The sequence below is a fragment of the Homo sapiens genome, chromosome 8 (genome assembly GCF_000001405.40).
Source record: "Homo sapiens chromosome 8, GRCh38.p14 Primary Assembly".
NCBI lineage: Eukaryota > Metazoa > Chordata > Mammalia > Primates > Hominidae > Homo > Homo sapiens.
The window spans coordinates 24,987,519-25,010,041 of record NC_000008.11 but is presented as its reverse complement, the minus strand read 5'-3'; the positions used below and the strand labels follow the sequence as shown (position 1 = coordinate 25,010,041).

Sequence of the window (22,523 nt, the reverse complement as noted above, 5' to 3'; positions counted from 1 at the left end):
TTTCATAGAATCACAATTTATTCTCTCAGAAGAGATGAGTCATTGTAATTTGGGTATCATGATTCACTCCTGCGCATAACCAGAACACTGGAACAATATTAATTACTCCAGCCTCATTTTCACTACAAAAGTCACTTCCAACTCCATCAGTTTTCAGTCCAAAAGAACATACCAAGTTTGGTAAAGAAACTTGAAGATCATTTTCTCTCTGCTTTGATCTAATTTTTTTAAAAAAAGACTTTAAGTTTTCAGATGATAGATTATATTCTTGAAAGCTGGAACGCAGATGCAGCATCTCACAATTCTACCAGGAACAGAAGAAATCTGGAATTGGAATGGAAGATGAGGTTGCTGTGAGCAGAGAGGGAGATGGGGTTTGTATTAAATTAGCTTCCTAGGCCCACTGTGGTGGCTACACTTGTAACCTTAGCACTTTGGGAAGCCCAGGAGGAAGGATCACTTGAGGCCAAGAGTTTGAAACCAGCCTCGGCAACATAGTGAGAGCCTGTCTCTACAAAAATTTTGAAAAACAAAAAAAGTGGCCTGGTGCGGTGGCTCACACCTGTAATCCCAGCACTTTGGGAGACCGAGGCTGGCAGATCACGAGGTCAGGCATTCAAGACCAGTCTGGCCAACTTGGTGAAACCCCATCTCTACTAAAAATACAAGAAAAATTAGCCAGGAGTGGTGGCAGGCACCTGTAATCCCAGCTACTCGGGAGGCTCCAGCCTGGGTGACAGAGCGAGACTCCATCTCGAAAAAAAAAAAAAAAAGGAGAAAAAGAAAAAGTTTCATAGGCAGACCAATGACTGTGGAGCATCACAGTCTAGGAGTGCAAGGTGAAAACCTTTTTATTTCCACACAGAGGTCAAATATTATTTATATATGCATACCAGGAAATTACTATAGCTGACGTTTCACAAATCAGGGCACCTGGTTCCCTATGACAGACCCCAAGTGTTCCCTGATTCAAGAATTTATGAGACAGTGGGCTCCCAAAGAGGCAGTCAGTCACCTACTCAGTGTATAGCAGTGCCAAAAGACCTCTCTATCCCCAGTGTGCCCCACCCTGCTGACCTTGAGACCCTCCCCATAACGTTGAAATTATCCACTTTTAAATTACTTATAGGTAATTAGAAAAAAAAAAAGGTAACCCAAGGTGATGGTGTATTTCTGTAAGACCCATGATAAAGCTGTTGATAATTTTCTGGCCTCTACGGTACTGTCTTTTTTTTTTTTTTTTTCTGACTTCTTAGGTTGCTAAAGACTCCTTGAGAACTTTATGCAATCGGTTGCTCTTTCCAGAAAAATATACAAATACATGGATGTTAGTGTGTAAATTCAGATGGATCACAAATCTCCTGAAGTCCACCCATGAAAACTACCCGTCTCTTTGCCCCTCAATTCTGAATATCTTCCCAACAGCTCACTCTCACCTCCTGTACAAGTCTCACCTCCTCCATGATGTCTTCCATGGTTTCCCTCATCTGAACACTTACAGTTCATCTGAGCACCATCTTCACTGCTCTTTTGCGCTATTGCAGAAAGTGAGTTTTCTTTTCATTCACTGGTGTCTTGACTTCCTGAATAATGATACGCTCCTCGAAAGCACGCATGTTGTGTTCTTGAACTTTATATCTCCATAGCACTGGGGAGGAAAGAAGGAATTCTGCTACGCCTAATACCCAACACACACTTTCCCTTTTCCAGTGTACATTTCTTTCCTTTTCTTTTTTCTTTTTCTTTTTTTTTGAGAAGCAGTCTCGTTCTGTCACCCAGGCTGGAGTGCAGTGGTGCGATCTCAGCTCACTGCAACCTCCGCCTCCCGGGTTCAAGGGATCCTCCTGCCTCAGCCTCCCAAGTAGCTGGGACTGCAGGCGCCCGCCACCATGCCCGGCTAATTTTTTGTATTTTTAGTAGAGACGGGGTTTCACCGTGTTAGCCAGGCTGGTCTTGATCTCCTGACCTCGTGATCCGCCCGCCTTGGCCTTCCAAAGTGCTGGGATTACAGGCATGAGTCACCACGCCCGGCCTCCAAAGTACATTTCTAATAAATTCAACAGTTTCATAAACAACATATTTATTGCAACAATATCACAACATTTTGCAACAGCTTCAGAAATAGTGATTATTTATTGTGACAGTGTTGCAACATTTGTGACAGCTTCAGAAATAGTGGCATTTATTGCAACAAAGTGCAACATTTTAGAAAGTTGCAGCTGATACATGTTTCCTCCTCCCACTCTAAACAGAGACTTCCAACACAGAGGGAACTTGGAGAGTGCTGGGGGGTACTCAGCAGAATGGAAGCCTAACCGTTTCCAGGGAAACAATCAGTAAAGACATTTCCCTGGAAAGCCTGCGTTGCTAACTGCAGTGCCACCCCTGAGGGCTCCATTCATGATTTAAACACTGGATATGAAAAATAATCAGAGATTTAACCAAGGACACTACCAGTTTAAGCCCTTGTAGAGACACTCCTAATTGGAGCAGTTTCGGTGTGATCCCTCTTTTCTCCTTCACACAGGCCCCAGTGGCTTTAACCTACATTTCTGTAAAATTTGGAGCTTCTACCACACACGCATCAGGGGTCATCTCCCTCAAGCTTTCCTGAGAATGAATTTAAAGTCTGATGATTCTTTCAGTTACTTGCCTCCTTGTCATCCATTAGCAGTAAACTTTCACTTTTTCTTCTTTTCCCCTCATCCTAGGATCATGTTACAATTTAGTGGTTACGAGCTTTGGTATCAGACTGACATGATTTTTAACATTACCAGCTGTGTGACCAGGAGAATATGACCTAACCTCTGAAAACCTCAGTTTCCTCATGTGTCAAATGGGAATAATTGTACCAGTTTAAATTTGTTGTAGAGATTAAAAAATGAAACCAGGGCCAGGCGCGGTGGCTCATGCCTGTAATCCCAGCACTTTGGGAGGCCAAGTTGGATGGATCACGAGGTCAGGAATTCGAGACCAGTCTGGCCAACATGGTGAAACCCCGTCTCTACTAAAAATACAAAAATTAGCCAGGCATGGTGTTGGGCACCTGTGATCCCAGCTACTCAGGAAGGAGGCTGAGGCAGGAGAATCACTTGAACCCGGGCGGCAGAGGTTGCAGTGAGCCTACACTCCAGCCTGGGCAACAGAGCAAGATTCTGTCTCAAAAACAAAAACAAAATCAAAAACAAAACAAAACAAAAAAACAAGAAACAATGTGCACAAAGTCTACATTAAAATAAAATCGTGTATACTGCAATGTCTAGCACATAGTAAGTGCTTAAGGAATGAATAGTCCATCACAGTTTCTAGATCCTTTGCTAGGTTATACTGAGATGACTCTAGAAGCCATCAGATTGTGCTAAAATTTCTCTGTCTTGAGTAGATATGAAACTGACTTGGACTGGGACCAAAGGACTCAAGCAATATCCTACCAGGACCTGCTTCCAAATTCTTCAACTATGGACCATAGCTGTAGGAAATAGTAATTTCTACCACAGTGTTGATGTGTACATTAAATCAGCTTTTAGATAGATAGTGTCTAGCCTGCTACCTATCACGCAGGAAGTACTCAGTACAGGCTAGCGTCCCATCTGCAGCAGTTGTACCAGCCAGGGCATAAGAACAATTACCTTCAGGGAGGCTTCTCTAAGAATGTCTGGACCTGGGTTCTCTTTTATATTTGTCCATTTATTTACCATTTCCAGCTTCTTTGTTCCTCCTATAGATCTTCCATCTGGTACCATTTTACCTTAGTCCTTGGATCTTCACCATTTCTTATAGTGCAGGTCTGCTAGTAACAAATTGTCTCAGATTTCATCTATCAGAACATGTCTTTATTGATCTCTTTTTTCCCCCAAGGATCTTTTCATTGGACACATAATTATGACTTTACTTTTTTTTTCAGCATTGAAAAGATGTCTTTCTTTCTTCTTTCTTTTCCTCCCTCCTTCCCTCCTGCCCTCCCTCCCTCCCTCCCTTCCTTCCTTCTTTTGTTTTTGACAAAGTGTCTTACTCTGCTGCCCTGGCTGAAGTGCAGTGGCTTGATCATAGCTCACTGCAGCCTCAACCTTCTAGGCTCAAGTGACCCTCTTGCCTCAGCCTCCCAACTAGCTGGGACTCCAGGCACATGCCACTGGGTCCAACTTGAAAAGATGTCTTTCTGTTGTCTTCCGGACACTTTCTCATAAGAAATCAGTGATCATTGTTATCCTTGGTTCGACGTATGCAGTGTGTCTTCTCTGGCTGCTATAAGACTTTTTTTTTCATCTTCGATTTTTCCGCAATTTGGCTGTAATATGCCTACGAGTAGTTTAAAAAATGTTTATCCTGTTTTGTATTTGTCAAACTTCTTGGATCTGTAATATAATCAGTTTTGGGATTTTTTTTCAAAATTGCCTAATCTGACTCTCTTTTCTTTCTGAAGTTTCTAATTATAATTATGTATGTTAGACTATTTGTGTTGTTCCACGGTTCCTTGAGTTTGCATTTATTTTTTTTCAGTCTCTTTTCTCTTGTTTCTTCAGGTTGAATAGTTTCAGCTAATCCATCTTCAAGTTCACTGATTCTTTTTTCTTGCCATCTCTAATAAGCTGTTAGATTTTTCATTTTAGTTAATGTACTTTTCAGTTCCAGAATTTTGAGATAGTTATTTTCATTACAGTTTTCATTTCTCTGCTAAGATTTCCTATTTCTTCATTTTCAGACCTTGCTTTTTCTTACATTAAATTTTTTTTTTTAATTTTAAGTAATGGGGTCTCACTATGTTTCCCAGGCTGGTCTTGAACTCCTGGGCTCAAAAGATCTTTCTGTCTCAGCCTCTTGGCTAGCTAGGATGCACTGGCATGCACAACTGTACCAGCTTCTTTCATTCTTTGAACACATTTTTATTCAATTTTTTGATATATTTATCAAAGCTGATATAAAATATTTTTCTGCTCAGTTCAATCTCTGAGCCATCAGGTTGGTTATTATTGACTGCTATCTTTCTTGACTACAGAGCATATTTTCTTACTTTCTTGTTTGTCTAGTGATTTTTTTAATTGAATACTAGATTTTGAATAGTATGTTGAAGAAATTCTAAATTCTGTTATCTTCCTCTGAAGAGTGCTAATTATTGTTTAGCAAGCAGTTCAATTACTGGCTGATCACCTTAATCAAGTCATTTCCCAAGTTCCTCTACCTTGATGGGACTTGGCCTTCAAATTCTGTACTCCCCACCCCCCAATTATTTGTCAAGGCTCCGTTTTAGGCTGTGTTACTGCAATTCTGGAATAGGTCTTACTCTAGAACGAGCATGTTTTGACCCTCAGACCAATCCTGCCTACTCTCTATTTTTGAAAATATTGGAAATGAGTCTTGGAACACAGACATGCTATTAATTTGAGTATTTTTTTATGACTGATTTTCTGTTACAACAGCAGAGTTGAGTAGCTGCAGTACAGACCATATAGTCTGCACAGTGAAAATTATTGAACATATTGCCCTTTACAAAAAGGTTTGCTCATCCCCGCTGTAGAGGTTAGCCCTTATTGCTAAACAAAAGCAGTTCTGGTGTCTTAGCTGGATTTCAGGAGTGTTAATAAAGTGTTTTTGAAATCTCTATTCTTTCCAGGTCAGAATTCCAAAGTCTTTGGGCACAACTCTTCCCCCAGCATTGCTAGTATCTTTTCCCCCACAAATATTTGCTAACCTGTGAGTCCCAGGTGGTCTCCTGCTCATCTACAGCCCAGTCCGCAGTCATGACCTCACAAGGGGTCCTCATATGGGATTAGGGTAGTATTCTCTATAAAGCTACCTCCTTGTTGATGCTCCACCCTGCAGATTCAACTATTTCAGCTTTGCTAAACTCTGTTCTCTCTCTGTTCGGCCCAACTCTTGAGCCCTGCTTGGACCTCAGCTCTCTGTGCTACAGTTAGAAAAATCTCTTCCAGCAGAGAGCTGGATGATTTGGGGGTTCACCTTGTAAGTTTTTCTCTCTCAGAAATAACCATCTCTGGCTGTCTGTTGTCCACTGCCAGCCTCAAATATTTTCTCCTGGCTTTCTAGTTGTTTAAAGCTAAAAAACTAGTCCAGTACCAGTTACTGCATCATGACTAGATGTACAAATCCTTAAAGTTCTTTTTAAAGCCTCATCTCCCTCTTGGCAGATGATATCTTTCAGAGTCTGTGGCTCAATTTCTCATTTCTCCTCCAACTCCCAGCTCAATGTGTCTTCTCTTCTTTAAAGAGGCCAGGTTCTCTTAGGAATTTGCTAGTAATTTTCTATTTTCTCTCCCAGGGACATCTGCAGTTCACAGCCCATTTGCAAAAGGAACCAACTAACAGCCCCTGAATGTAATGACTGATGCATCCCTTTCCAACTCTGGTAACTAGCTCTGCCCACTCCCTTTTGTTCCCTAGGATGACTCAGGAAAACGTCCACACACCCTTCATGCTTGTGAGGCTTTAGAATTATACTTCACAACCACAAATCTTGTTAACCTTAATATGCGTGCACATTTCTATCTGTGGAAGAAGAATGATTGATCACAGGCTCATGCACAAAATAATCAATAGATAACCCAGTCAATTCTCATCATGACCAAGGAAAGAAGGAAAATAAAGTTTCATTTATTCAGGAACAGTGATGTGCCAAGAATTCTGCTAAGCACTTTTACATACATAATATGGCTTAATTCTTACTGTGACTTTGGAAAGATGATATTATTAATCTTTGTCTTGAATAAATAAAAACCCCGAGGCTTTGAGAGATTAAATAATTTATACTAGCTCGCAGCAGTCCATGGTGAAGTCCTAAAGCTGGGTAGGTCTGTGTGACTTCAGAACTCTTTCCCAAACATCAAATGACCTCACCAAAAAGGATAAGCCCCGACATGCACAGTTTATAAGGCTACAAGTTTTGTGACTTACTCTTTTAAGTCTGTTCTTTGTTTAAACTGATTTTACTTGCATAAAAATGTTAGGATGGGAAATAGTACATGGTATGCTTTTTCCTAAACTGAAATCAGCCTGTCTGGATACAGGAGAAGAAGCCAAGAATGGAAATAGAAGTGTTGTTGGTTTAAGAAGCCAAATTTTCCTCTTCTTTGATCTTAGTATTTATAAGAACATCATCTATCATTGATTAAGCACCTCTGTCCACCCCTGTGCTAAGCATTGCAGATGCATCTAATTTAAGCCCCTCAGTGAAACTGTGAGGTGGGTGTTATTGCTATGCCCCATTTTTAGAATAAAACAATAAAGTTTGGAAGGTTAAGTAATTTCTAGTAGATGGTAAGCTGCAGAGTCAGGGTCTGACCCAGACTGTAAGATTTCTGTCTGTGCTTTCAAATTCTGTGCTATTCTCCTTTCTAACTGCAACTGCATCTACCCTAAAAAATTTTGATTTCCTAACCTTGGAATTCAAAATAATCCAAACAATCTTGGCTTCTTCAGCCTCCATGCCCATACTCTTTTATGAGATAGTAGAAGAGCCTTGAAAATAGGATTGGGTTCAAATCCAGATCTTAACACTGTAAAAATGAAGAAAATTATTCTTGTTTTGCCAGAGTTGTGAGAGTTAAAAGGGAAAGATGGTCAAATGTCCATTACTTACATGATTGCAGTACTAAGCATGCACCCCAGAGATACAAGTATGGCCTTCTATTTAATTTTATCTGATGGTAGCTGGCAGGGGCAAGTATCTCTGCTTTCAAATAAAATCTTCATGTGTGGTGGAAAAGTCCAAGCTATTCTCTCAAGAACAAAGATAAGGCAACCAACCACAGCTGACAGAGTAGCCTTCCCCTACCCAATTCTGTAAATAATACAGCCTGTCGAAGGGATATGCAAAAACCCATGGGAAAACTTTACAGTCCAGTGTCAAAGTCTGATAGGAAAAGCGGAAAAATAAGCTGTTTCCTAGAACCGAAAGAAAAGCTTTAAACAGCTAGAGAGTGAATCTTATTCCAAAGGGCTGTGAGGACAAGTGATTAATCTGGAGCCCTGTTCAATCGACATCAAAAACTGGTGCGCAGCCTCGGGAACCTTGAAGACCAATTAGATCGAAGTGAAAAAGTGGAGAAATTGGGCCAGAGCCGTGGAGATGTGTGGGCTACAGGCTCTCCCCGCTCCCCCAAAACACCAGCCTCCGTTCCAGAGTGGCCCACGCTCTCTTTCCTCCCGGCACCGATCCTTGCATTAAAGGGATCGGGCTAACCTGGAAGGGATGAGAGTTGAGAATACAATGAGAACGGCACAGATCACCTGTGGATCCCCAAAGACAGCCTTCACCCGTATTCCGCCCAGAAAGGGCAGAGTCACCCTGGTCCCCAAGCCTGGCGCGCGGGCGGCGGCGTCCTTAGTAACGAGGGACTCTAACACCCGCGACGAGCCACTTGGGAACTGGCTTCTCCACCTCCCCGACCCCGCGGAACCTCAGCAGTCAGTCCCTGTTCTGCCTTGGGAAGCTGCCTCGGGCAGCTGCCTCCGAAAGAGCAGAAACGCCACAAAGTTCCTTAAAAGCCAAAGCATTCATGGGGAAGAGGTTCAAGGAGGGCGTATGTGTGCGGAGGTGGTGGTGGTGTTGCGGCACTCGGTGTAGACCAGCAGAATTCCGGACTGGGTGACCGCAGCGTCTTGCACAAAACAGCACACATCTCCCCGGGTGTGGCTGGTGCCTGCGGTAGTAACTAGGGCCTGAACCCGCTCAGTGAAAGGATGAGGAAGGACAGGAGGGGGCCTGAAGAAGAGAAAAGAGAGGAACTGGGAAAGAGCAGAGATGGAGAAATCGCAGACATAGTTTTTTAAACGGGCATTGAAGATACTTTCGGCAAAACGCGGAAGGGGGCACTGGCCTTACATGGGGATGGGGACAGAAGCCCACGGAGTTAAAATACAAAAGCCAGAGCAACACGGCTGGCACCAGGAGCTCGGGAGCCCCGGGCCCGGAGAAGCCCTTTCCCCACTGGCATCACCATTTCCCAGATTTAAAACAGGGGTTGCTCCCGAGGAGCAAGGCTGAGCCCTCTTTTGAGTCCAGACCCTTTGAATGCGAAGAAGGTTATGTATTGTTTACTCCCAAAATGCGCCCATGCACGAATGCACAAGTGGGGCGCATTTTTAGGGGGTTCCTACCAAGCCCCAACTGGTCGCTCGCCGGGGCTCCCACCCTCTGCCTGCGGGAAGCCCTGGGGGTGCGGGAGCTGGGAAGAGGGCGCTGCGCCCGGGCTAACCCGCCAATCGCGTGGCTGGCTGGGGGCGGCCGTGGCTCAGGCGGGAGTGACTCAGCAGCCTCCTGCGGCGGGAACCGGGGAGGGGAGCCAGGCACCGCCCGAGCCTGAGCTCCCCGGCGCTGGGAGTTTTGGGATGTCATCCCCAGCCCCGATGTCTCCTTTAGCCTAGGAACATCCCTTTTTCTCTATGGCCTGACATACCGCCAGCTCTGGGTGCGGCTTCCCGGGTCATCCACACCACACCCCTGGGTTTGTGCAGGGTCAGGGGACCCTCGCCGACGCACCCCACCATGTCCCAGTCCTCAGCTCCGGATGACCGGTGGGCAGAAAGTTCAGTGGCCCTTACTGACCGCGGGACTGCCCTTCGCCCCTTTGCAGTGGCCGCTGGCTCGCTGTCCCTCCCTTCCTCCCTCCCTCCCTCCCCCTCTCAGCGCTTTTTTTTTTTTTCTCGATATTTGCAGCAATATTGAACTTCTGCAGGAGAGAATGAATGGTGCAGCGGCAGCTGCCGCGGAGCGCGCATAGCGGGAGAGTGTAGGTCTCCTGCCACGCGGGGAGGGAGGGTGAGTGTAAAACAGATGTCCCGCATTTAGTGTCCATCGAAGAGCGCAGCTATGATGACCCCGACTCTCAGAGCACAAGCTGTAGGCGATGCCCTGGGAGGCCAGTCCCGGCTCTGACACTTGCTTTCTCTGCTTGCGCGCCCTTCCCAAGCCACCAGCAGGGGCGCTGTGGAGCTGTACTGTACCCAGGAGGGGACTTGGCGGCTATTGCTGCGCTGCGTTCTACCAAAGAATGGAGGCTGCCGGGCGTGGCACGGAGCTTTCTTTGCACGCCTGCACCAGTTCAGGGAAGAGGGGACCAGAAAAGTTTTTCCAGAAGAAAGGCCCTGGAGACGTGTAGCTGTTTCTCGTTATTTAGTTGTCGGCTGAAAGTCTTATCAGTCAGCCAGATAATTAAAAATGTTATATATAAATAAGGGCCACTTGCTTCCTTCTAAATTATGCCACTTTCTAGCCCAGCTTGCTTAAATATTTACCCCCAGGGACCACCAAGGATTTATTTGAAGATATCTATCCAGATTCACATTCTCGCTAATTCTTCAACTTGTTTTATTTTTCTTAGGGTGGGGTACCAGGTTCCAAGATTCCCTCTTGTCTTCTAATGCTTTGAATTGCCCCCTTCATTCTATGCCCGGCCAAGAAAGGGTCATTCATTCATCCATTCATTCTCACATGCACCAGGAATTCCCTTTACAACCCATACTTTTAGGGTCTCTTTTAGAATAGAAGTTTGGATCTTTCCTTTTCTGACACCAACGTGGACAGTCTGTGGTTCTATCATTCTTTTTGTTCCTTTCCGCCTTGAATTAATTGTAGCCTCTTCTTTCCTGTGTCCCTAGGAAAAGGTTGCCTAATGACATAGCAGAACTATAAACTAAATAGGTGTCAGTGACAGTGCAGAGTCTCAGTGCTTAGGAGACTCTTAATGAGATATAACTTCAGCCTCTGGCGAACTCTGCCGATGAGATAATGTCTCTGGCAGGGGAGAAGAGGAATTTGGGCTGTAACCTGTTAATGGCCCAACCAACCTCAGGTCTCTCTGTGGACTTTCCCTGGCACAAGTCCGAGGCACGTCGGTGTCTTTCTCCTGCTGCAGTTCTGATTAACAGATGTGCTATTTGAGGAAAACACAGTCAAGCTGCAAATCGGACCCCACCAGAATATATACAGTGTCCGTGTCAGAAGCAGCCATGCATGTCATTTACCAATGCTACATCGTCATGACAAAGGTACTGTACACAGGAAGGACCCCTTGCTTCTATGACTCCTCTCATTAGCCTGAAATATGCCTGAAGACCCCACCTGTGGACTGGTTCAGCTGTCTCATTTCCCAAGTGGGAAACTGAGACCTGGAGATGCTAAGGGGCTTGTTCAAGCTTAGAATGCAAGGCTCCTAGTTCTCCGTGCTGTGCCTTCGCTTCTGTTCAATGCTTCTGTTTCCTATTATGGCCTGGGATACTCTCTTATTACCTACCTACACACACACACACACACACACACACACACACACACACACACACACACACCCCTACACCCCTTTGGGAGGATTGATGCCCTAATGCATTGATATTTCAGTGTGAATTCTTTTAGTATTACAGGTTAGTAAGTTAATCATCTGGAAATGCCTCGAGGAAGGAAAGAGTTGCATGGAGAAGTGGGTAGTGAAAAATATTGCCACAGTGCCATCTTTTGCGATCCACTTGGCACATGGGGGCAGTGTGGGGTAGCAGGTAGGCCGAGAGGCAGGAAGGCAAGAGGATGTGGGAGACAGCGTCCTGCCTAATGTGCAGTCTGGCTGGAAGACAGACACAGAGCAGTTCTTAGGGTAGGTCTGTGTGCCGCTCAGACAGCAGCTGAGATGTATTGCTCATAGAATATGCTGAGATGTATTGTTTATGACCCTTCAGTCATTTTGTCTCCCCTCTTGCCATTGCCCCGTGGAGTGGAGGAGTGGGGGCTCATTAAGCAGTAGGGAGCTTCACACTCAGGAAAACACCCCTAGCTTTCAATTTAAACTGTCCGAGTGTGTGACATTTTAATCCATCTAAAAGCTCTCTTCATAAATGAGCTGGCTGCAGGTCGTCACTTGTCAGTGTTAAGGAGGTGAGCTAAGCTAAGAGGCCTCCTTGTCAGAACAAATGCAATTGCTGCGCCTAGGAGATGTGGAAAGTGGGGGCTGTGCAAGGCAGCTGCAGTGGGCAGGCCAGGAAAATGGCATTTGGGTTTCGAGTCCTGAATTTTAATGCAGACTTTTTCCGCAGCAATTTGCCTAGTCCTCAGTGTGCTTTTATATTTTTGAAACGAGTCAGAGTTTTATAGGCAATAATGCTAAGCTTCTGTCAGCCATCCAGCTTTATGAAATCCAAAAGGGACTAGGAAAGGCATGTGCATAATTTAAGAAATATGGGTTCCCTGACCACTGCTTAGTTTTTCTTTTCTATTAAAATGATCAGCATAAAGCCACCATGCCAATAATTCATAGATGTTTAGCCATGCTCATCACTTCCTCCAGTCCCGTTGGGTCTTGTAATATCTTCCCTCTGGCTAAAACAACGTATTTGCTCCGGAAAGATATCTTAAATTTTACCCTAATTCTAATAATGCCTAATCATAATTCATTTCTATTGCCTAGGTAAGATTATGGGAGGAGGAAAACATATAAACCAAGTTTAATGTATAATACAGCCAGTAAGGTTGTTCAGATTTGCTTTTGGCTAGAGATGTGGTTAAATATAAAAGCCATTTGATGATTTTGTGTTTTTAAACATAGAATGAGGGGCTCAATGTACTCCATCGTGAAAGTTTCCAGAGAAAATGTTACGGGATAAAAATTATGTGACACCAGGGGTAGCACACAAAAGAGGAGGGAATATTCAAATAACAAAATTCTTTTTTCTATATACTTCCATTTTTTAGTAAAAATGCCAATTTCAAGAAACAAAAGATTTTAATGAAGGATTTTGTATACTCTAACCCTTAATTAAGAGGGAAAATAAAAAGCATTCAAATAAGGTAGAAGTAGGTTTTCTCTTTCCTATTAATTCTTATGCAGCAAATTGCCAATTTGGTTCCAATGCATCTAAAAAATTATACATTTTTATCAGGGCACTTCAGAGCAAGCTTGTGAAATTCTCAACATTTTTTATTTTTTGAATTCTCTGGCCTCTCTGATCCTGGTTCTTACTTCCCCACATCCTCTTCCTCTTACACAGCCAAACCTTTCCTTAAGAAAGGATCTGATATCCATCACTTAGACTTTAATGGGAACGTGCCTTGAAATAGGAACTCCACCGGGACAGTGACATTTTAAGACATATCTGAGTTTGAAATGAAAAAAGCTTGGAGTCTAGAATATAAAGCATTCTGAATCCTAAGAGGAAATGGAGAAGGTATTTGGGAAGCAGCAATTCTTTCCCGAACACGTTGGAAACAATCCCACTGAGGAGCACCTCATGGGAGGCCAGGCAAGTTCGGAAGGGGTGCTCATGTCTGATCACAAGTTCTTACATGGCCCATACACTCCTCCAGCTTGCACAGCTGAATTTGTGTGCTAAAAGCAGGAGCACCAGCATCAGACTGGGGTGAAAGAACCCCCACACTTATCAGTTACTAGTTGTGTGATTTGGGCAAGACTTTCTTTTCCTCTGTGATAGAGTGTTTCTAAGAGTACTGGCTTCACACAGACTAGTGGGAGGATGAAAAGAGATCCTGCCTGCTTAGCACAGGGTCAAGTGTAGGGTTGGCCTTTGATAAATCCTAGTCTTTATTATTTTTCTGTGGCAAGTGACCCCAAACCTAGGAGGGAGGAGACCAGGTTTCCTGCTTGTATTCTGATTTTTGACTGGACTTTATTGTTCTAAGAATTTTCTTCTTCAAAAGTTGTCAAATCATTTGGCAAACATTCCATTCCAGTCTCCCCAGTTCTTGTGCCAGTCACTGGCAATAAATTACACTCTAGGGAATGATCTTAAAATATGCTAAAAAATAAAGACCTTTAATTTTGCCAGGCTAGAATTTAAAGTTTTGTAGTTGCCATTACTTTTATTTACTCTCCCTTAGATTAAAACTCAATACACATTATCGAGCAACTATTTATTGAGGTGCTGCATTGGAAATATTATCTCATTTCAACATCATGGCAGTAAAGTAAAGTAGGAATTATTGTTGAGATTTATAAATGAGGAAACCAAAGCTTAAAGGGGTGACATGGTTCCTCGTGAAAGATCACACAGTAGTGTACTAGTTAAGACAGGATTTCAATACATAAACATTCTTGAAACTTAAATCTGGATTTTTTTGGTGGCGGGGGAGGGGTTGGGGGAAATTCTCTTGGAAGACTAGTTGTAAATTTAGAATAATTGAAATTTCCTTAATCTCTTAGTTCTCCAGAATAAAAATGATCTCTTCTATCAGATCTTCAACCAAGCACACAAAAGAAGAGATGGCTGAATCCTGCATTGTATTAAATTGTCCCCAGATGGTTTAATACAATTACTATATCTGCTGGCTGCTGGAAGCTACCAGCAGGGAGGAATCTAGAAGTGTGCATGCGCACACACAGGCAGGGGAGGGGGGTGTGAATGATTCCACTAAGTACAGAAATAAGAGAGAGGAAGATATTTCTAACAGCTTTCTTCAGGGTGGGAAACTGAGTCAGCTCATTTGAAAATAGCAACTTCTAGATGTTAAACAGCAAAGCAAAAGTAATACAAAATAACATTAGATTCACTGTGTGTGTGTGTGTGTGTGTGTGTGTGTGTGTGTGTGTAAGAGGTAAAGAGAGAGAGGTAAGTAACCGCAGAGATGTATCTTATCTCAGCATGACGCAATTCTTCTGTATGTGAAAGCAGTAAAATAAATGAAAAAGGGGAAAATACTCACCCATTTAAAAGTTAGTTTTTCATCATAAATATGATGGAGAAACATTTGATTAGAAATTGATAGAATTTAAACTAAAAATCCAAAAGAGAAGAAGAGAAAGGACACACAAACTCAATTTCCAAAAGGAAACTACAATGGCCAAGAAATTTAAAAAAAAATTATTTAGCTCACTAGTAATCAGATGAACTGTTCAATAAATAGGTTAAAGCAGCAATAATATATGCTATCATATAACGAAGATGTAAATATTCATTATGCTCAACATTAGTGAGGATGGGGGGGAACTAGAAGCCTTTGTACTGTGCTGGAGGGAGTATAAGCTTAAAAATTGTTCATAGACACTAAAAAAAAATAAGGTCTAGGGATATATCTTAAAGTAATAGTACAATGTGGGACAAACATTTGTGTATAGGGATATTTGTGGCCATATAATTTATATTAATAAGAAACCTGGAATCTATCTGCACAGTCGACATGATGAGACACATTAAATACACTATGATTCATATGAAAGAGTATTAAACAGCCTTTCAAATGAGTCATGGGATGTTTAATTACTTGAAAATATGATTTTAAAGTATAACATCAGATTTAAAAGCAAGATATAATATTACACAGAGCATGAAACCAGTGTAGACAAAATTTTATATAAACATATACATATGCATTGACGGGTCTGGAAGGAAATATGCCGATATGTTAATAGTGATCTCCTTGGGCAGCAAGATTTAACTTGAATTTTCTACACTAGATGTGAGGCTTTTAAACCAACCCCAAGCCACCGCTTCACTCATCCCCAATCCCCCACAGCCAGTAAATTTAAAAGCATCCAAAGGAATCCATCATGATCACTCACTTAGTTTTTATTAGATGTTTGTATTTGTGTGACACTGAAACCAACTTCTGACTCCAGGGCCTTATTTCTGTGTCACAGAAAGCTGGCTGCCTGGTCTTTTGTTGGTTTGTGCCTCAGTGCGGTATTTATGTGTTCCAGAGTTTTAATACTGGGGTCTTTAGACAAGAGGGCTGATGAAATCTTCATTTAGTGGGCTTGTTTGGGCATCGTATGTTTTCTTTGTCCTGAGTCTCTTCTGAGAAGAAGTAAACAGCAGTTTCACCTATAGCACACATCACTGGCTGTCTGCAGTCATGGAAGTCCTAACTAATATAGTCCTGTGATTAGAGGCACTGAGGTTTTCTTGCCTTCATCCCATTTACTTTGCCCCATAAAATGTCAGAAAATATGGCAGAGTACATGCAATGGAACACCATCTGTACGAAACACATCCATGTAAACATATAAAAATCCTGGGTTACATCCTTTGCTGAGAACCACCCTCAGTATTTTCAGCCTAGGAAAAATACTACCTTTGATGGAAAAATGTGAATATGATATCTGTCCCCTCCTTCTTCCCTCACCCTCAGTTTTGATATCATTTGGATGAATGGCAACAGCAGGGGCTCAAATATAATTACTTTATAAATAATTAATAAGGTACTATTATTATTACTTAAAAAAATCCCATTTTGGAATGAGTCTCTTGATAGTAGCTGAAGCTTAATTTAGCCAAATAACTGTTCTGCCTTAGCTAATGTGACCCATTATTTTTAGGCTCAGAAGATTATTTCCAGATGCACTGAGACAATGGCTATCCATCATTCATTTCTGGGGGCCACTTTCTTGGCATGCCAGTGACATATCTGGGTTTATTACCACTTTCCATGGTCACAGTGGTGAAATTAGTTTAGTATTATCCAAGTATCTGTAGGAGACCCTATGTAATTCAATTCAACGCTGTAGAATTCAAGTTCTAAGTAGCCCCCTGACGCTTTTAAAAAAATACTTTTGATATGATGTTAAGTGAAAATGTCTCACACAGATAGATGATAGATTAGATAGAGATGATAGATAGATAGTTGATAGATGATAGATCAGATAGATAGATGATAGATTAGATAGATAGAGATGATAGATGGATAGACCCAGCGATGTATATGTCTCTGATTATAATGTTTGTGCATTTTTTTAAAACCTACCAGAATGAACTGTTATTATTTTAGAGTAAAAAATTGTTAAAACTGTAATATTTATTTTCTTCTCTACAGTTCCATGTCTTCTTACAATAGGCATATATAACTTTTATAATCAGAAAAAAAAGAGTTGTTTAAAAAAAAAAAATTCTTTTTGAGGCCTTTGTCCTGGTCTCACAGAATGCATGATGAGACATTTCCACAGTGTCCAGAGGGAAAATGCAATCCTTGGAACTTTATTACCTCCATCCTGTCATCTGTGGCTCACAGTAGGGAAAATGATACTTTGGGTAATTACAGATCACCTATATTTTGATCCCAGGCACTTTGTAAGACTCATTACAATGTGAGCAAGAGCCTCTTCATATATCGTAAATCCAGCCACAGGATGCTTGAGTTTAAACAAATAACAAAGATTTTACATTTCTCTCAGAAGTGTTATTAGTGTTTACTCTGCAGATAGTAGACCTCTGTGCTGAAAACTCCTAAGTCTCTGCTTCCATATTACCATGGATTCAAAGGCAGAAGCCCTACAAGTAGCTCCCCACCATCCACTAATGTGATTTGCAGCCACAGAGCAGTCACTTGGCTTGAGTTAAAATGCTACATGTTCCTTGGTCTGCATTGATTCTGGTTACCTATAGGGTGAGCACTTTGGGCTTCGGTAGCACTTAGGACCAAATCCAAGTCTCCGAGACCTGGTCCTGGGGATGCCTGGAGTTTCCCTACACCTTTCCTGGCTGCTGTCCATCCCTGGGCACTGGCATTGCCCCCAGTTTTTTTTTTTTTAATTTAATTTTTTAAACTTTTTTCCTCCTATATTACTATAGTGCTGACCTCCCCCCAGTTGTGGAGATGAGTCCTTTATTGACATAATAACTCATGGATTCCAGTGAGACCTGCCTTTCCCATGCACTATCACTCTGGCCTTCCAGAACCACATCCCCAGTCTCCTGGGGAATCCTCCCAGTGTTTCCTCCCAGGAAATAATAGAATATCCATACCTGCAAGCCTGTCTGGAACTGGATTCCCTCTGCTATGCCCTCTTGGCCTTGATCTCTGACGCTCAGGGCCTCACTTTGTCCTCATTTTGACTTCCACCCCTGTTGGTATCAACCCCCTGAGAGTGTTCTCTTTCCTTGCAGTCTTAAAAACTTTCTGACACTTCTTCCTAAAAATGGCATCTAGACAGCAGGCCCTGATACCACCTTTTCACTAAAATATCCATTACTTAAAAGGTGAGAATACACCACCTCTAAATCCAGCACAGATGTTCAGCCTAATGTCAGGATCTGGGAGGATGAGGATACCAGAAGCTACAGGAGTCAAGTATTCATGTCGGTCTTCTTCTTTGTGTTGTAACTGCATCACACCAATCTGGTTCAACTTTTACGTAGCAATATTGTGAGTTGTTTTTCAGTTGCCATGGACCCCCAGGTTGAAGGTCATATTACCTGAGCATGCCCAGATGAACCAAGTATGCAGCCACTGGTGGAACCTAAGGGCTTAGACGGAGAAGCAGGGACTGAATTAAGAAGCAGACACCATATGGCAGGATCCAGGATCCAATCAGATTGAGCTCTGGTGTCACCTCATGGCAGGAACCAATCAGATCACTCCTCCTAGCATCACCTCATTACAAAATCCAATCAGATCATCACTCATTACCCTATGCTTATAACACCTGCCCCAACCCCTGCTTGGGGAGACACTGCTTTGGGAACTATTCTTACTTGTTACAAGTAATAAAATCCCCTTGCTAAATCCTCCTTGGTTGTGGTCATTGAGTTGATACTGGCCAGGAGACGGAATTCACCTGTTGTGTGGGTAAAATGCTATACTATGAAACCTGCTTCTTGATGTTAAGTGAAAATGTGAATTCTAAATATCAATATTGATATCAATATTCAAATATGTTTATTCTACAAGAAATAAATGATAAATGTAGTACAATACTATCAAAGACCTACCAAAATATTTTTAACTTGGCAAAAATGTTTCTAAAATTCATCTAGAAGAACAAACACTTGAGACTGATAAAAAACATTTTGAGGCCGGGTGCGGTGGCTCACACCTGTAATCCCAGCACTTTGGGAGGCCAAGGCAGGCAGATCACCAGATGTCAGGAGTTTGAGACCAGCCTGGCCAACATGGTAAAACCCTGTCTCTACTAAAAATACAAAAATTAGCTGGGTGTGGCGGCAAGTGCCTGTAATCCCAGCTACTCAGGAGACTGAGGCAAGGAGAATTACTTGAACCCAGGAGGCGGAGGTTGCAGTGAGCCAAGATCCTGCCATTGCACTCCAGCCTGGGCAACAAAGTGAGACTCTGTCTCAAAAAAAAAAAAAAGAAAGCAAAGAAAAGCATTTTGGAAAAGGAAAATAGTGGTGAGGACTTACCATATAAGATTCTAGAGTTACACAAAAGAGAATGAAAAGAAAAATATAGACTCTATTGTATCTGATATTTTGGTATAGGATAAAAAATATCAGTTTCAGTCTGTTTAGGAAATAATAGACTATTTAATAAATGATGCTGGAGTAATTGGCTAACCATATCTTCCTTCATACATCAAAAACATTTCTAATATATTTTTAAAATTAAATAGATGAGGCCAGTCACTGTGGTTCATACTTATAATCCCAGCACTTTGGGAGGCCGAGATGGGTGGATCACCTGAGGTCAGGAGTTAGAGACCAACCTGGCCAATGTGGTGAAACCCCGTCTCTACTAAAAATATAAAAAAATTATCCAGGCATGGTGTTGCATGCCTGTAATCCCAGCCACTCGGGAGGCTGAGGCAGAAGAATTGCTTGAACCCAGGAGGCGGAGATTGCAGTGAGCTAAGATCATGCCACTGCACTCCAGCCTCAGTGACAGAGCAAGACTACATCTCAAAAAAAAAAAAAAAATTAGATGAAACAAAAAATTCTAGAAGAAAATATAGGTAAACACTATGGGTCATTGAGATGCAGAAGGACTTTCCAAGCTTTAATGCAAAGATTTTTTTTAAAGGAAGAGATGATAGGTTTGAATAAAGGAAAGATTTTAAGCTGTTATAGTCAAAAACCATCTGTCTTAGTCCATTTGTGTTGCTATAAAGGAATACCTGAGGCTGGGTAATTTATAAAGACAAGAGGTTTATTTGGCTCCTGGCTTTCCAGGCTGCTCAAGAACCATTGTGCCAACATCTACTTCTGATAAGGAAGTTGATGTGTGCAGAGATCACATGGTGAGACAGGAAGCAAGAGAGAGAGAGAGGAGAGAGCTTCCAGGCTCTTTTTAACCACCAGCACTTGGGGCATTCTCTTGGGAACTATTAGAGTGAGAATGCACTCATTTTTGAAGGCACCAAGCCATTCATGAGTGATCTACACTCATGGCCAAGCAGAGGTGGGAAGATTGCTTGAAGTCAGGAGGTTGACACCAGCCTGGCAACATAGCAAGACCCCATCTCTATTAAAAATAAAAGTAAAAAATTAGCCAGGCATTTTGCTGCATACCTGTAGTCCCAACTACTTGGGAGGCTGAGGTGGGAGAATTGTTTGAGCCCAGGAGTTTGAGGTTGTGTTGAACTGTGATAGCACTCCTGCACTTCAGCCAGGGCAACACAGCAAGACCATATATCTTAAAAAAAAAAAATCTCAAACTGTATGTCCTCACCACACACACACACACACAAATGGTAGATATGTGTGGTGATTAATGTGTTAGTTCATTTGGTTGAGGCCATGATTTTACAATATATATGTGTATCAAATCATCACATTGTACCCTTTGAATATGTACAATTGTTATTTGTCAACTATACCTCAGTAAAGCTGGGGAGGAGGGAGAAATTACAGACCAATATCTCTTATGAATATAGCTGCAAAAAAACCCTCAATAAAATACTAACAAACTGAATCCAGTAACATATAAAAGGTACTATCCCATAACCAAGTGGGATTTATCCAAGGAATATAAGGTTATTTTAACATATAAAAATCAATCAGTTAAAACATGTTAATAGGATAAAGGGAAAAAACCATATGGTTATCTCAACAGACAGGGAAAAGACATTTGACAAAAATCAACACTCATGATAAATGAAAACAAACAAAAAGACAAAAAAAATCCACTCAAGACTTAAACTGTAGAGATTTAAGTTTTGGGGAAATTCAATTAAAGATGTAAAGTGGGCTGGGCGCAGTGGCTCACGCCTGTAATCCCAGCACTTTGGGAGGCTGAGGCGGGCGGATCACGACGTCAGGAGATCGAGACCATCCTGGCTAACACGGTGAAACCCCGTCTCTACTAAAAAATACAAAAAAAAAAAAAGTTAGGCGGGCGTGGTGGCGGGCGCCTGTAGTCCCAGCTACTCGGGAGGCTGAGGCAGGAGAATGGCGTGAACCCGGGAGGCGGAGCTTGCAGTGAGCCGAGATTGCACCACTGCACTCCAGCCTGGGTGACAGAGTGAGACTCCATCTAAAATTAAAAAAAAAAAAAAAAAAGTAAAGTGATCTTGCACTCAGAAAAGGAATCTGGACAGGACCCATACATTTTGGATTTCTTGCACATGGATATTTTAAACCATGGAGTGGATGAGATTTTCTAGGGAGCCAGTGTGGGGAGAAACAGGAAGCAGGACTGCCTGAGAGGTAGAAAGAAAACCAGGAGTTCAGTTAGACAAGAGGAATGAGTTCAATAGCTCTACTGTACGGCATGGTGACTGTAGTTAATAACAAGGTATTGTATCCTTGAAAATTGCCAAGAAAGTAGATTTTGGGTATTCTCATCAAAAAAATGATAAGTATATGAGGTAATCTATAGGTTAAATAGCTCTATTTAGCCATTCCACAATGTATACATACATCAATGCAACATGTAGATAAATATATATTAAAAAAATAAATTTAAAAATAAAAATAAATGTTTTTAAAAAGAACATAGGCTCTGGAATTAACCTCCCTAGGTTTAAATCCTGGCTGCACATATACCTGGTTTGGGGAAAGTTATTTAAATTTTCTGTGTGCAAGTTCATTTGCTTACAAAATGAAAATTATAGTGGTACTTACTTCATAGGGTTATTAGTATTAAAATAAATAATATGTATAAAACTACTTAGCAAAAAAAAACCTCTCTATAGATAGAAAGGAACCTCATTAACCTGATAAACAGCTATTATGAAAAAACTCCCAGTGAATATCATATTTAATGCTAAGGCACAGAATGCTTTTTTCCTGAAGTCAGGGAAAAGACAAAGATGTCCACCTTGCACACACTAATTCGACACTATATTGCATGTTCTAGCCAATGCAATAAGGCAAGAACAATAAATAAAACACATGCATATCAAGAAGAAAGAAAACTGTATTCACAGATGGTATGATTGTCTAAGTGAAAAACTCAAACAACATAAAAAAGTTTCTTAGAACAAATAAGTAAGTTTAGCAAGGTAATGATAAAAAAAAGAAAAAAGTGAAAGAAAGAAAACCAGGAGAGTGGTATGTTGTGAAAGCCAAGAGAAGAGGAAATTTCAGAAAGTCAGAAGCCCAGAACTGAATGGATCAGGAAAAGAGCAGGTGTTGAAGTTGGATCTTGAAGGACAGGAACGGTATTCCAGAGAAAGAGACTACAGACAGTTCTCGACTATGATGGCTTCATTATGATTTTTCAACTTTATGATGGTACAAAAGTGATTACTTGCAGCAGAAACCGTACTTTGACTTTTGATATTTTTCTGGGTTAGTGATATGCAGTATGATACCTTCTTGTGAGGCTGGGCAGTGGGATTGAGCTGCAGCTCCCAGTTCAGTCACATGATCGTGAGGGTAAACAATTGATCTTGTATTCT

At 41.8% G+C, this 22,523-nt stretch overlaps 1 long non-coding RNA gene across 1 annotated transcript, besides 1 other annotated feature; it reads right to left on the bottom strand.

Moving 5' to 3' along the window:
• LOC105379330 (uncharacterized) lies at positions 1 to 18,165 on the bottom strand. Its single transcript, XR_949591.2, has 3 exons — positions 17,692 to 18,165; positions 1,455 to 1,648; positions 1 to 324 (listed from the first exon to the last, which is right to left on the bottom strand). It is a non-coding gene; the product is annotated as an uncharacterized LOC105379330 (long non-coding RNA).
• Positions 8,691 to 9,510: an enhancer, noted in NCBI's record as "H3K27ac-H3K4me1 hESC enhancer chr8:24858047-24858866 (GRCh37/hg19 assembly coordinates)". NCBI's record gives its function as "activates a minimal SCP1, AML or CMV promoter by ChIP-STARR-seq in naive H9 embryonic stem cells {active_cell/tissue: H9 hESC(naive)}" and the evidence as "EXISTENCE:reporter gene assay evidence [ECO:0000049][PMID:30033119]".
• Positions 18,166 to 22,523: the final 4,358 nt, after the last annotated feature.